This window comes from Homo sapiens, chromosome 13 (genome assembly GCF_000001405.40).
Source record: "Homo sapiens chromosome 13, GRCh38.p14 Primary Assembly".
Taxonomy (NCBI): Eukaryota; Metazoa; Chordata; class Mammalia; order Primates; family Hominidae; genus Homo; species Homo sapiens.
Window position 1 is genome coordinate 97,697,437 of NC_000013.11, and position 15,733 is coordinate 97,713,169.

At 37.6% G+C, this 15,733-nt stretch overlaps 1 long non-coding RNA gene across 2 annotated transcripts in view; it reads right to left on the reverse strand.

The window, feature by feature from the left end:
* Positions 1-13,608, reverse strand: part of LOC105370324 (uncharacterized) — a 179,291-nt gene extending 165,683 nt beyond the window's left edge. Inside the window, exons 1-2 of one of the 2 annotated variants that reach the window (XR_007063845.1) lie at positions 13,533-13,608; positions 7,000-9,364 (exon numbers count right to left, since the gene is read on the reverse strand). This is a non-coding gene — a long non-coding RNA (uncharacterized LOC105370324). Of the gene's footprint in view, positions 1-6,999; positions 9,365-10,358; positions 10,491-13,532 lie in introns of those variants that run through there. The other variant, XR_931663.3, reaches the window with a different exon arrangement.
* Between the last annotated feature and the right edge of the window lie 2,125 nt (positions 13,609-15,733).

Genomic DNA, 15,733 nt, shown 5'->3' on the forward strand with positions numbered 1-15,733 from the left:
GAGAAACCCCGTCTCTACTAAAAAAAAAAAAAAAAAAAAAAAAAAAAAAATACAAAATTAGCCAGGCATGGTGGTGCATGCCTGTAATCCTAGCTACTCGGGAGGCTGAGGCAGGAGAATCACTTGAACCTGGGAGGCGGAGATTGCAGTGTGCCCTGATCATGCCATTGCACTCCAGACCGGGCAACAAGAGCAAAACTCCATCTCAAAAAAAAAAAAAAAAAAAAGTAAGGGATATGAGATAATGAAAGAATGAAGAGACACAAATGGTGAAAAAAAACTCAACCTCACATAACAGACCTTTTTTTTGATCGGTCAAATTGAAAAAACATTTTAAATCATGATTTTCAGTCTTTTGAGGCTTCTCATTTAGTTCTGGTGAAGTTTACATTTTTCAGAGGGTAACTTGAAATAGTATGGGCCTTAAAAAAGTTCGCACTCTTTACTTCAGAGATTTAACTATCTATAGAAATGTCCCATAATGAAATGATCAGCGTGCACAAAGATTAATATATAAGAATGTTATTGACCATGGTATCTATAGCAGTCCAATAATAGGCCATTGTCCAATAAGGAACAATTGGCTAAGCATTTGTCAATAGGCAGTTGTCTAAGTAAATTATGGGCCATTGAGCCATGAATATTAGTCAACCATTAAAAAAATATGCTAGAGGTTGCCTAATAATATTTCCTGGTGTAATAGAAGAAAGAAAAATAAATAAATAAAAAATATGCTAGTGGGTCAAGGCACGTCTGCTCACACCTGTAGCCTGAGCACTTTGGGAGGCCGACACACGTGGATCACCTGAGCTCAGAAGTTTGAGACCATCCTTGGCAACATGGCAAAACCCTGTCTCTATAAAAAACACAAAAAATTAGACTGATGTGGTGGTGCATGCCTATAGTGTCAGCTACTTGGGAGGCTGAGGTAAGACAATCACTTGAACCTGGGGAGGTCAAGGCTACAATGAGCCATGATAGCACCACTCCAGCCTGGGCAACAGAGCCAGACCCTGTCTCAAATATATATAAACATATATTATATATTAGCAATAGCTACCTTTGATTGTGCCCTTACTCTAAGATAGGATGGAATGGAGAATGTGACAAAAGAATCCAATGATATTACAAACGTTATGAAACAATCTCACTTAAGGGAATAGGGGAATAAGGTACTGACTTAAATAACTTTGGAAATAAGTAGCGTCTATAAGACTAAAGGTAAAAGGCAATATGCATGAGCGCCACAGTCTAGTTGCTAAAGTTGGTTCCCGTAAGAGCAGAGGATAACAATTCTGAAAATGCTCTCCGTGTACATGGGACTTGAGCAATAGAGTGAATGGATGGAGGATGGTGGGAGCCAGGTTTCTCACTGAAGTGTGAGATTACAAATAAGCAAAAGAGGAGCCTGGAATGATCCCTGTGGTAATGGATTAGAATTGGAGACAGCAGTATAAACTCATGCTCAACTCCATACAGATACAGATGGTTACATATAGAAATGTTTATAGATGTGTGTAAACACTGGTTAGAATACACAAATATCCTCACTCTGTCAGCTGAGAGGAGCTAGAAGCAAAAACACACCAGGAGCAACAAGCACACCTACTGCCCTGTTCTTTGTTTCTAATATGACCTCCAATAAAAGGAACCCGGGCTTCTCAGATAAATGGCTCATTCTAGAAGGGGGGCATATACAAGATGAGCCTGGAGTATCTTTTAATGCCATAGAGTAAAAGAGTATTAAAAAAATTATAAAAACTGAAAAAAGAAAGAGAAAGAAAACCACACCACAATGATGGGGGTACATCAAAGAGCTCCCAATACTTAGAAGGAGGGACAATTTGAGCATCAAAATAACATAGTATTGGATTATGACCCAATGTATAAAATCAGTATCAAGTCCATACTGATATAAGTGATTAAATGAATGTTGAACAAGAGACAAATCTCCCATGCAGTAAAATTTGAACAAATTTATAAAGATACTCAGATCTCAAGAAAGTGGATTATAACTCCTGCTTATTAAGTGTGGTCTGCACAAAGGGACTTCCTTCTGGAGAGCACAGTATAAAAAAAGTAATGTACATGGACATAAATTTAAAAAGAAAAGAAAAGAAAGAAATTAACTTTGGCCAGTGACTCACACCTATAATTCCAGCACTTTGGGAGGCTGAGGCAGATCACTTGAGCCCAAGAGTTCAAGACAAGCCTGGGCAACATAGCAAAACCCTATCTCTACAAAAACTTAGCTGGGCATAGTGGCTCATGCATGCAGTCCCAGTGACTTGAGAGGATGAAGTGGGAGGATCACTTGAGCCCAGGGAGGTCACAGCTACAGTAAGCTGTGATCATGCCACTGCACTCCAGCCTGGGCAACAGAGTGAGACCCTATCTCAAAAAATAAGAAAAAGAAAATTAAAAAATAGTATAGAAAGAGGAGAAAAAAGAATAACTTGACAGTAGAGAAACCTGACAAACACAATCTCAGGTGATCAAGGTCAACATCAATGGCAATGAGTCATGTTAACAATATATACCCTTGATATGCTGTGATGAGAATGTCACTTTGTTTCTGTGGTCTTCCCCAAAAAACCCATAACCCCTGTCTATCATCAGAAAAACATAAGAGGAAGGGACATTCTACAAAATACCTGACCAGTATTTCAATCCTCAAAGCTATCAAGGTCATCAAAACCAAAGAAAGTCTAAGAAACTGTCACAACCAATAGGAACCAAAGGAGACAGGACTGCTAGATGTACTGCGATGTACTGGATGTGATCTGAGAACTGAAAATGGACATCAGAGACAAAAATCATGAAATATAAATGAAGGCATGGGCTTTAGTTAATAACAACATACCAATATTGGCTCATTAATTGTAACAAATATACCACGCTAATGTTAACATGTTAGGAGTAGGGGAAACTGGATGTAGGGACATAGGAGCTATACTATCTTCACAATAATTCTGTAAATCTAAAACTATTCTAAAATAAAAAGTGTATTAGCAACAACAACAAAAGAAACATCAGTGATAAGTAACGTTCAGGAAGAATGATGAATAAGCATTTAATCTGCTATTGTTTCATTTTTTGTTGAAAAAAATTTTTATAAGAGTCACATCCAGGTTAGAACAAGTGTCGCCTCATAAAGGCAGCAATAAACTTACTTGGCCTGAATTCTACCACTTTTCTAGAATCCCCAGAGGGTGAGATAATTCGTTCTGACCACTTCCCTTCTCTATTTCTACATTACAATCATCTCATGAAGCTTGAAAGTAGGGCACCCTCTCCAATGGGCGGTTTCTCCTCTCTGTCTCCCCTATCCCTCCAGCGTTTGATTTAGTACACCTGAACCACCTCATTCTCCATCATTATTTCAGCTTAGCCAAGAGGAAATTAGTACTAAAACCATCAAATCTTAATTGAGTATCTTTTATTAAACAGAAAATGGGAATTAGCAGGTACTTATCTGTACCCTAATAGAGTACCTCTTAACAGCTATGCAAAATAGCCTCTATGAATCTCTCATCCTTCTTGTTCCATGACATTTTCCACCAAAGAGTCTGAGCATAAAAGAATTAGGTGTGGTAATAATATTGAAGATGACAATAATAACACATAATGTTTACTGAGTACTTGCTATGTGCCAGGCACTAGATGTTTTATTTGATTTTTATGGATTTTTTTTTGTTGGGTCAGGTCAGTTGGTTTTTTAATAAAAAATAGTCCAGACTCAGAAGGTACAAGCAGGTAAAACAATTTTATTTTTCTCCTGCCCATGATTTCAGTTATACAGTCCCATCACACACCTGGCCAATATGTCAGGCAGATGATATTTTGCAAGTCACCTTGAGATATTAACAAACACCCTCACTTTGATGTATTCAAAAGTCCAGTACAGCTTAGAACGCTCAAGCAACTTGAAGCTTCCCCTCCTTCTGAATCCCAACCCTTACTCAATCTGAAGAAACCTGTGACAGGCAATAGTTGAAGTTCTGTAATTTTTTTTTTTTTAACTTTGTCTCCTTCTCCATTACCACCTGCTTCTAACTGGTTGGAGAAAAGGGCAGGGAGGGAGCAGATAAAAGTTCACCCAACATGTGCTGATGTCAGCTGCTGTTGTCACATGTCACATGGTGAAACCCCGTCTCTACTAAAAATGCAAAAGATTAGCCGGGCATGGTGGCAGGCGCCTGTAATCCCAGCTGCTCGGGAGGCTGAGGCAGGAGAATCGCTTGAACCCAGGAGGTGTCTGGGGATGGCATATACACAAAGGCTGACTCTTGTTCTGTAGAGCACCTGGGTGGGTCCCTTACTGGGGACTCACTAGTGACCAGTACCTAGCACTCCTCCCCTTAGCAGCCCCACGGAATCTCTCCTCAACAAAATATCCCACAGGACTCTTCCCCATTAGGATTACTTTAGCCCCCTTGGGCAGATCTCTAGAGGTGGGGTCCTCTTAAAATGACTCAAACTCAACTATTTTCCATGGGGCACACTCTAGAAAAACACTCCAGGAAGCCCTCATTCCCTGCGATTGGTGGGTGCTGCCTTGCTCCATGGTAGCCTTCTCTCCCTGCTCGGCCATCAGGAGCAGAGCTCTGATCAGGAAAGACTCTGACCTTTCCTGCCAATCCTCCCTCCACTGGGCTTAACCCTGGAGGGGCCAGAAAGGGCAACTAGAAAGTGGGGAGAAAGCACAAAGAAAACAAGGAAGTGTCTCAGTCTGTTCAAACTGCTATCACAGAATATACTGGGTGGCTTGTAAAAAACAGAAATCTCTCTCTCACAGTTCTGGAGGCTGGTAAGTCCAAGATCAAGACATCTGCAGATTCAGTGTCAGGTAAGTGTCCACAACCTAATCCCATCTTGCCATCTCACTGCATCCTCATATGGTGGAAGAGGCAAGGGTTTATCTCAGGCCTCTTCTGTAAATGCACTAATCCCATTCACAACCATCTACATGGGCTCCATCCTCATGACCAAATCACCCCTCAAAGGCCCCACTTCCTAATACCATCACCTTGAGGGTGAGGATCTTGACATATGAATTTGGGGGTGAGGACAGAAACATTTGGACCATAGCAGGAAGCAAATGAACCAACCATGCCCTTATCTTCCCAGTAACAGGTTTCCAGGCATGTGTCAAAACCGGACTGAGGTGGGGAAGCAAGAACCTTTAAATTGAATGAGCATTTCAAGTTTCAACATTTACTGATTGGGCTCAACATTTTAATAGTTAAAATAAAACTGAAATTTTTACTATGTGAAAATAAAACCTGAAAGTGACCAGGAACACACTAGTATGAGTATTAACAACAACAAAGGAAATCATCAGTGATAAGTAGGGTCCAGGAAGAATGATGAATAAGCATTTAATCTGCTATTGTTTCATTTTTAGTTGAAACTGAAGTGCAGCTAAAGGATAGAAGAGGGGGATTTAACTAGCACTTTTAAAGACACTGTTGAAAGACAGTAGTAGTATGAGAAAATAAAGCTTCTTCATGATTTACTCCCACAAAAGACAGCATGTTTCATAAACTAACTACATATACTAATTTATACTCATAACAGTTTTATGAGGTGATGTGTTAAGATAAATTCTCTGAAGAAATAAACTGTTCTTAAATGATACATTTTGATCTTTCATCAAAATAAACCAATTTTCACTTGCTATCATCTGAATAGATCTTTTTGGAACACACCTGCCTTCTAGTGACTGTTGAGATAAAATTCGAAATGGTATAATTCAAGTAGAGGAGATATTTGGGGGAAGAACCTTTCTAGCTCCTACCAAGGCATTCAAAAGTAATCAGTTAGGTTGAGGGCGGTGACTCACACCTGTAATCCCAACACTTTGGGAGGCTGAGGTGGGTGGATTACCTGAGGTCAAGAGTTTGAGACCAGACTGGGCAGCATGGTGAAACCCCATCCCTACTAAAAATACAAAAAATTAGCCAGGTATGGTGGCAGGCACCTGTAATCCCAGCTACTTGGGAGGCTGAGGCATAAGAATCACTTGAACCCAAGAGGCAGAGCCTGCAATGAGCCAAGATCATATCATTGCACTCCAGCCTGGGCAACAAGAGCGAAACTCTCTCTCAAAAATAATAATAATAATAATAATAATAATAATAATAATCAACTGGTCTCTAAGTGGAGATGAGGTAGAAGGAATTGTTTGATCACTGAACACTCATCACCCTAACCTAACTCCATCTGGCAGAAAATAGGTTTAGAATTTAGTTGGTGTATAAATCTAGCAAAGCACCAGTTATAAGTACCTGCCTTAGCCCCTGTCACTTTGTAAGGCAACCACTGATAATGCTGCCTATACATGGCTGTTTATTTCTCATTTTCCTGTGCCATTGTCTCCAGTTCTGAGCTTGCCCTTTGTCTTCTTTATCAGGTTTTGGCTATTATTTCATAATTAGCCTCAAGTCCTTCTCCTTTTATGGCCTATATGGAATAGTAGGGGAGATAAAAGGGTTGGTTATTGTTGTTGTTTTCTATTTACTAGCAGCATTTTTAGGAAGTGAGGCTCAGAGAAGTCTTAATTTCAATCACTCCTTTTCTAGAAATTCTTGCCAAAAGCCACTTAGGCATCTGATATGCTTATTTGAACAAGAGGTCTGCTTCAATTGGCAAAAATGTTAAGTCTTTTTTGACTTAATTGAATCCAAAAAAAAATTTGGAAGCTTTCATATTTTTCTTTATTATTCATTCGACTGTTAAAGAGATGTAGGTATAGCAAGATCTTTGAAAACAGAACCAAGAAACTAAAATGTAAGCAGACAAGTGCTGGGTATTAAGCGGGTTGCTGTGTACTCCAGGGACTACAGGTTGGTGTGTCCTTGCGGAGAGAGTGAAATTGGCCACATGAAATGTTTTGGCTATATGTTGCTATATAACAAATTATCCAAAACCATATTCACTTAAAACAACTGAATTAGCTAACAGTTTCTGTAGGTCAGGAATTCAGTTGTGGCTTACCTGGATGGCTTTGGCTCAAGGTCTTTCTTGAGGTTGCAGTCAAGACACTGAAGCTGCTGTCATCTCAAGACCACCAGGGACCGGAGCACCTGCTTCCAGTATGGCTCACTTAATGGCTTTGGATGAAGGCCTCAGTTCCTTGCCGTTGCCAGGGCACCTCAGTACCTTGCCATTTGAACACTCTGTGAGACTGCTTGAGTGTTTTCACAGCATGGCAGCTGGCCTCCCCTCAGAGTGAGTGATCCAAAAGAGGGATCAAGAGAAAAAACACAATGATTTTTTTAGGTATTCTCAAAATCCACACACTATCACATTCACCATATTCTGTTAGAAGTAAGTCACTAAGTCTAGCCTCCATCAAGAGGAGGGCATTAGGCTCCACCCTTTGAAAATAGGTGTATCAAAGAATTTATATACATATTTTCAAACCACAACATTAAGATTTGGAGATGGTGGCTGCTGCTTTCTTTGTGTATTTGTTTTGGACTTATGCTTACAGTAAGCAGAAGTATTCTGAAGTGAAAAAAATATAAATCTCAATTGCAGAGAATTATTTTAATAAAGTGTTATGTAATACCCTTTATTTTCGCCACAATAATTATTTTAATAAAATATAATGCAATATGTTTTATTTTCAGCTAAAGGACTTTTATCCTTTGAAGAGTGAGAAACAGAGAAACTCCCAAAAACCTGCACCCCAAAATTATAAGAATGAGAACATTTTAAGATAAAAATTCCTTTAATGTTTTTCTCTTTCACCAGTACAAAAAGTGATATTTTAATAAAGCAGCATCAATTAGAGAAACTGCTAATGTTTATACAGAGTTACATTCTTACATTCAAAATTACTCAGGCCCAATCTTACTTTCTCCCTAATAACAATAGTTTAATCAAGGAGGTAATATTTAATGCAATCTAATATCTATCCTTTCTTTAAAAATTGCCACAAACTTCTCACTTAATCAACTAGCATTCACAGTACAAAACTGAGAACTAAAAATAAAATCCTAAGCCCCCAACCAACTGAATGGACGCCCCTCTTGGCCAAGAGGACCCAGAGAAACCTTAAAAATGGAGTTCCTGGCCACGACAGGACAGGAGGTTGGACACACATTGGTATATCTCCTCTTTGTGTGGTTTAGACACAACTGATCAGCATTAGTGTTAAAATAGAGTTCATAAGACTGATAAAATGGACTCTGTAGCAGTAAGATACCAAATTACAAACAGGACCTAAGGCCACCCAGTCAAGGATTAAGCCACATACCCCTACACTTAAAGAATAAACTGTGTTCTAACTGCCACAGGTTTTTCTTCTTCTACAGAAGCTAAATAAGCAAAGGCCTTAAGAGAAGCAATATTGAAATAATTGCAGCTCCTCTACCACCAGATGCTGACTCACTGGTCCCCTGTTCCACAAGCCATAACTATAACTTTGATTGGACAAGACTGATTTCAGTAACTCTCCTGATAAAAGACCAGAGACCATGGACTGGTCCCAGCCCATTTAAAGAGACTGCACACTTGAGTGTCTTCATCTCCCTGCTTCACCTTTTGACATATAAGGCCTAACTGTAACGCGTTTAAATATTACGGCTCCACACCAAAGTGAACATGGGATGCATGAAACATGCATGTTTGTTTATGTATCAGGCCCCACTTCAGGAATATCTGTAGCTCCTCCTATAACCTGTTGAATATGTGTACTGGGCCAACCTGTTTAGCATAAATCCCAGCCCCACACTCCCCTCCCTCAAAGTGCCCCCTTCAAGTCCCTGCCAGAGGCTACACTTCCAAATCTGTCAGGATGATGGCCACCCTAGAAGCTGTAACCCTTTTTATAATAAATAAAGTCTCCTTTCCAAATTTATAGAACTTGGGATTTTTCAATTGACAAAACTTTTGAAATCTACATAGGTTGATAAAACAAGGCAAACAAGGACCCATGCTTATTAATTGGCTTCAATTTACTTCAATATTATGGAAGTTCTTCCACATATTATTTATATTATCTTCCTTTTATATAATACATTTTAAAAATCACAAGATGAATGAGCATTTGAATCATGATTAAGGACATCAGAAAAACTTCTTTGGGGATATGCCATATACAACTTTGATATTATCTGAAGCTTTTTGGAAAACTCATTCAAAAAAATTGTTTTGATGCCCTCTTTTTTCTAAGTAAAATCAAAATACTGGTCATTATGGTGCTCTTAAAAATGTCTTTGTTATCAAAACTAGCATCAACACATTGCAATACAATGTCATAAAAGCCCACCTGTCTTTACAATTCATTAATTGAACTTCTAGTTTAACGATGTGGTTTAAATCAGAATATCTTCCTTATTTTCTTGGGAGTGTTCTGAAAGCCACAAAGATAATGAGAAATAAGAAATACAAACTTATCTATGTTAAAACTAGGCAAGAGAAAACCCCCACGCCATCAAATAAGTGGAAAGGCCGCCAAAAGCAGAGATCAAGTGGAGATATACGTGGCAGAAAGTGAAGGGGGGAAAAAGACTGTGACCCTGGATCATGCATGAGCCAGCAAAGTATATTTCTTGGCAGTGAGAGACAAGGGCAAAATAAAAATCATTCATTTGCAGCAGTAGGATGAGTGCACAAACTAGCATCAAGAGCTTCCCCAGAACTAGGAAGCAGAGAGTGTTGGACTGCATGAGAAATCACATAGACAGCATATTTAAAAGAAGCACCTTGTCCCTTTAGCAATGAGAGAATAGCAGAGATAGAACTCGGTGAAAAGTTTATGGGAGCTATCTCTAAGGGCTGGGAAGAAGTAAAGGCTAATTAACCTGACACAAGAATCCTGGGTCATGAGGGAAATTCCAGCTAGCCCAGAACATAGCCCTAGTTCCTCCCCAACATGAAACTTCTGAAAATTGCTGGTCCAAGAAAAATTCACTTCAATCAACTGAGTAATCAACAGGAGGCATCACAAGAACTATTCCAAATAGATCTGATGGGAGTAGGGAGAGAGAAAAGGGAAAAGAAAATAAATGGTAGACGATGAACAGTCACTGACAAGTAGTAGATGAAAAGAGTGACCAAACACTACAGTCAATTTAAAATTCTTAAATCAATTGCCCTTCTGAAGCAACTGCAGTGAAAACATAGTGAAAAGTTAGTCAAAAGACTGAAGAAAATAAAGCATGAACTAGCAAATATCAGAACAGAATTGAAAGAAAAATCATCACAGAAATAAAAGTTAAAATGACAGAAGCACAAAGTAGGATAGATATTGCGTAGGATATTGAAGATAAAACTGGGGAAAACAACAAGAAATGGAAATTAACGCCCAAACATATTTAAAATATTAAGAAGAAAATTATGGGTACCTGAAGGAGATCAAGTCTACAGCCATGCCACCCTGAACGTGCCTGATCTTGTTTAAAAGAGATCAAGATGGGCCAGGAGCGGTGGCTCACGCCTGTAATCCCAGCACTTTGGGAGGCCGAGGCAGGCGGATCACGAGGTCAGGAGATCGAGACCATCCTGGCTAACATGGTGAAACCTCATCTCTACTAAAAATACAAAAAATTAGCCGGGCGTGGTGGCGGGCACCTGTAGTCCCAGTTGCTGGGGAGGCTGAGGTAAGAGAATGGCGTGAACCCGGGAGGCGGAGCTTGCAGTGAGCCGAGATTGCGCCACTGCACTCCAGCCTGGGCAAAAGAGCAAGACTCCGTCTCTAAAAATAAAAAATAAATAATAAATAAATAAACAAATAAATAAAGATCCAAATGAAGGCAATGAAAAAATTGGAGTAAAGCAAATTATTTCCAAAAATAAAAGATATGTTAAATTTACATATTAAATGGACATCATATCCCAGCAGAAACTGACCCAGCGTGTTCAATGGCAAGATATACTCTGAACTTACTGCACTTAAAAAATAATGAAATAATACTTTAGAAAACAAAGTAAGTCATCAAATCATTTATATGAGAAAAATATTCCAACTATCCTTGGACTTCTTCACAGCAATATTCAATTCTCGGAAACACTGGAAGAACTTCAAAATCCTCAAAAAAAAAAAGAATGTGACCCATGAATTTTGTAGACAGGCTGTCAAACATAAAGGCAACAGTCACAGAGCTATTATATGCAATGAACTTGGGGAATACTGTTTTTATAATAAGCCTTCTTGGAGAGTATATTTTAGAAAAAAGCTTTAATCATGAGATGAGTGGTTAAACAGCCAAAGATGTAAGAACTAATGGTAGAATTATAACTAAAAAATAAAATAAAATAAAAAACAGAGGTAGAACAAAACCTAAATGCCATAAGCCCTGACAATGTAAACATATATTTTACAGAAATTGAAAGAGGAAAGAAAAAGAATGTGAGAGGCAGTGCAAGTTCATAGATTCAAAAAAAGAATAACAGATATAAAGACTGCGTTTGATGGGCTTGTAAGAACAAAGAAATAGCCAGAATATCCTCAAGTATTTGGAAGTTAAACAACATACATGTAAATAACTCATGAGTCAAAGAGGAAATTATAAGAGAGAAAGTACATTTAATTGGACAAAAATGAAGGCACAACTTATCGAAGTTTGTGGGATGCAGCTAAAATAAAAGAACTGAGACTAAATAGATCTGCCATATTAGTAAATATGAATGGAAAAACTCACCTTTTAAAAGAAGCTGTTCAAGTCCGGGCCTGGTGGCTCACACATGTAATCCCAGTACCTTGGAAGGCCAAGGCAGGAGGATCACTTGAGCCTAAGAGTTCCAGACCAACCTGAGCAACATGGTGAGACCCTTTTGCTACAAGAAATGTAAAAATTAGCCAGGCATGTGGTGGCATGCATCTGTGGTCCCAGCTACTTGGGAGGCTGAGGTGAAAAGGTTGTTTGTGCCCGGGAGGTCGAGACTGCAGTAAGCTATGATCATGCCACTGTACTCCAGCCTGGATAACAGAGCAAGCCTTGTCTCAAAAAACAAAAAACAAAACAAAAAGAAAAGAAAAAGAAATCCATAGCAAACCTCAACTCTATGTCCTATACAAACACACCTAAAGAAACTGATTCTGAAAATTAAAGGATAAACAAATAACCAAGAAAATACAAAAGTAGACGACAACTTCAATTTTTCAATTTTGTACAAGACTGAAAGCAAGATTAAATTTGCGGCAAAAGTCCTAACAGAATAAGACAGCAATCTGAAAAGAAGATACAATAGTTTTTATTATTTACATACCAAAAAAATTTATAGAGCTTATATATTATATATATTATAAATATATTTATTCATAGAACAAATATTCATAAAGTATAAACCAATATCCTAGTCTCTCAAAAGTTTCATGGGTTTTCTAAATATTTGATCCCTGTTATGCTCACAGACATACCCATACTTCTCTTTGAAATATGCTTCCCTATCTAGAATTAATTACAGGTGCTATGAGAAAATCAGAAGATCATATCAATAGACTTTTTAGGAGCCATTATACGCAGATGAAAGGATCTGCTGTCTCTCCTTTAGATGAAATTTGTACGTTCTTACGTATAGTATTTTTATCATTTGTTTAGATATTCTAAAATTTTGGTTTTGATTTCAAAGATTTCAGCCAAAAGTTCTTTAAGAGATCATTTAAATTTTCTGATTGATGGAGGCTTTTTATTTTCAGCCTTTATTTTAATTACATGCCAGAATTATTGCATTGTGATAAGTAGATGTTTTGTACTATTTCTTCTTATAGAACTTATGAAATAAATCATTAAAAGTGCTGCCAGTCAGGATTAAGACTATAATTATTTAAGATGTCAAAGACTTTTGGCCTCCTCTGATTTCTACTGGTAGGAAGTAAGCTAAAATAGCATATTCTTTAATGATTACTTCAGAAGTGGCTAAGGAATGTGAGGATAAAGGAAGAACTTCCCAGCCAGCAGAGTCAAGAGCCATGGGGAACAATGAAATGAGGACATACTCCCAGGGAACAAAATGTAAGCTAATAAGGAAAAATACTCTGCTCCCAAGATAAGGTAATCAGGCAATATTTGCCCATAGGATTTGAGTATTGATTGCTACAGACCAGTGATGACCGTATACTTCCTCAGCATCCTCTTTTGAATGGGTATACTTGTGGAGGTTAGCCTATCCCTGCTCCATCACTGCATGTTGGATAAGTAAGGGGAAGTAATTTCTTTAAATTCATAGTTCTTTCAGTCAAGTGAACCAAATTCAAAATTAATATAAATGAAATCCCAGATATAATAATTGGATGAGACTTTGGCATGACTTTTATAAGACTAAGTGTATTTTGTATGTAGGAGGTATGTGAACATAAATAAATAAAAGAGTGGACTGTGGCAGAATAAATTGTTGTCTTTCATTCTTTATGCCCACTCAGTATTAGAATTATATAGCCACTCCCATTGCCATGTGACTTTACAGTTATACCAACTATAGTGGGCAGACTGTATTTTCTCACATTGTTAATGTTGGTTTTAACCATATAACTTGTCATGGCCAATGAAATGTGGACATAAATGACAGCATGCAACTACCAGGATGGATGACTCAAGAGGTATCACGTGTCCATTTGTCCTCTTGTGCTACTGCCATTCATCTTGTGCAATGGGACTCCAGGTAGCTACTAAACTGAAGACAATGAGAAACACATGGAACATGGAACATGGAACCTGGAAGCCAGAGCCCAGCCTAACCTAGATGAGTTGCCACCAGCCTGTAGATCCACAAGCAAGAAATAAATGTTTGATGTTTTAAGCCACTGAGATTTTGAGTGGCTTGTTATATAGCAACAAATGACGGGAAAAACTGAAATAAACCACAAATACGCAAAACTTTTTTAAAAGAAGGAAATAACTATAACTACAGAAAATTACAATAACCATATAGATTTCCCTGCTCAACTCTGTGCAAATAAATTTGAGAAGCCAGATAACATATATAATTTCCTAGAAAAATGCAATTAGCCCAGACCAGCTCCAGACAAAACAGTAAATCTGAACAAACTAGTATCTACAGAAAAAAATAGGGGAAACTGCAAAAAAGCTCTCTCTCACCAACTTCCCATTTAAAAAAGCAATGGGCTCAGATAGTTTCACAGGGAAATTTGGCAAATCTTAAAAGAATACATATTTTCAACATTATTTGAATTGTTGTAGAGTATGAAAAAAGAAGAAAAACTTCTGAATATTTTTAATGAAGTAATATGGACACCAAAATTTAGCAAAGATTAAACAGAAAAGTATAGATCAAACTTTTGTATAAATATGAATAGAAAAATCTTTAACAAAATATTAACAAATAATATCCAGCTATAATAGGATAACACATCTGATTTAGTGGACTTTATCCTAGAAATAAAAGAATTATCAATAATAAAATTAATTTATTAATGCTTTACCATATCATATTCTATGAATAAAAATTAATATAATCATATAATTATAATATAATTTCCATGAGTGATACTGAAATTGTGTTTAATAAATTCAATATATATTCTTAGTCAAGATTCTTAATAAAATAGAAACAGATAAATACTCCTTTAATATGATTAAATAAATCTGTCTCAATCCAAATCTAACCTCATGCTTAAGAAACACATTTAAAGCCAGGAATAAAACTAGAATGTCTATTATCAATGCCTTTGTTGTTGTTGTTCTTCCAAATATGACATGTATGAACATTATTATACATATTTCATCATAATGGGGATGAATATGAATTACACTTGGATACATACTTAGAAGTGGAATTTCTGCATCACAGAGTTATTGATGGTTCAATTGCTTAAGACAATGACAGACAGTTTTCCAAAAATATTACACCAAATTACTCCCCTATAACAGTTAGTTGATGGGAGATCTTATTGACATATATTCTCATATACATTTGATGACCTCAAATGTCTTCATTCCTACTACAGGCTGTTGTTATTTCAGTACAAAAGAAAATAGCATTAATTAGACACTATGTACCAGGCAGTTTCACATGTACTATCCCATTCTAACCCTATATTATAATCATTCTCATTTTACAGATGAATTTTGTTCAAAGTCATAAAGCTTCCCCAAAAGGCAGCCCTTCCTCCAAATCTAGTAGAGAAGTGAAAGTTTACAATGGCTGTGGAACCGCCCATCAAGGAAAGCAGAGGGTAATAAAGAGACACTCCCAGGTCACATACAAAATGTGTTCTATTAAAGCAAAATAAGTAGGAGGCCATTAGCCTGACTGTGTATTTTGAATTCGTATATAACACCACAGCCTAACTTGTACAGAGGCAAACCAAAACCTAACTTAGTTTATTTTTTGGAACACATAGCTGGATTTTATCCAGTCACAAACAGCTGAGCTTCAGCCAATCACAGGCAGCCAGCTGATTAGATCATGCCCACATAAGGCAAATGCCTCCTAAGGCAAATGTCTAACTATAGCCAGTCAGGTGATTTCTCTACTTTGCTACCATGTTCAGCCTGTAAAAGTCAACTGCTCATGCTTCTGTGCAGAACTCTCTGAACCTCTTCTGGTTCTGAATGCTGCCCAATTCATGAACCACTCTTTGCTCAAATAAACTACTAAATTTAATTTCTCTAAAGTTTTTCTTTTAACACTTTGATGTCAGAAGCAGAATACGAAAGAGACCTCCAGTGACCCCCCAGGAGCATTGAGTGATGAAGCAAAGGTACTCCCCAGGCCTACTGCTCCCATTACTCTCTCTTCATAACTGGAAGTTGTAAGT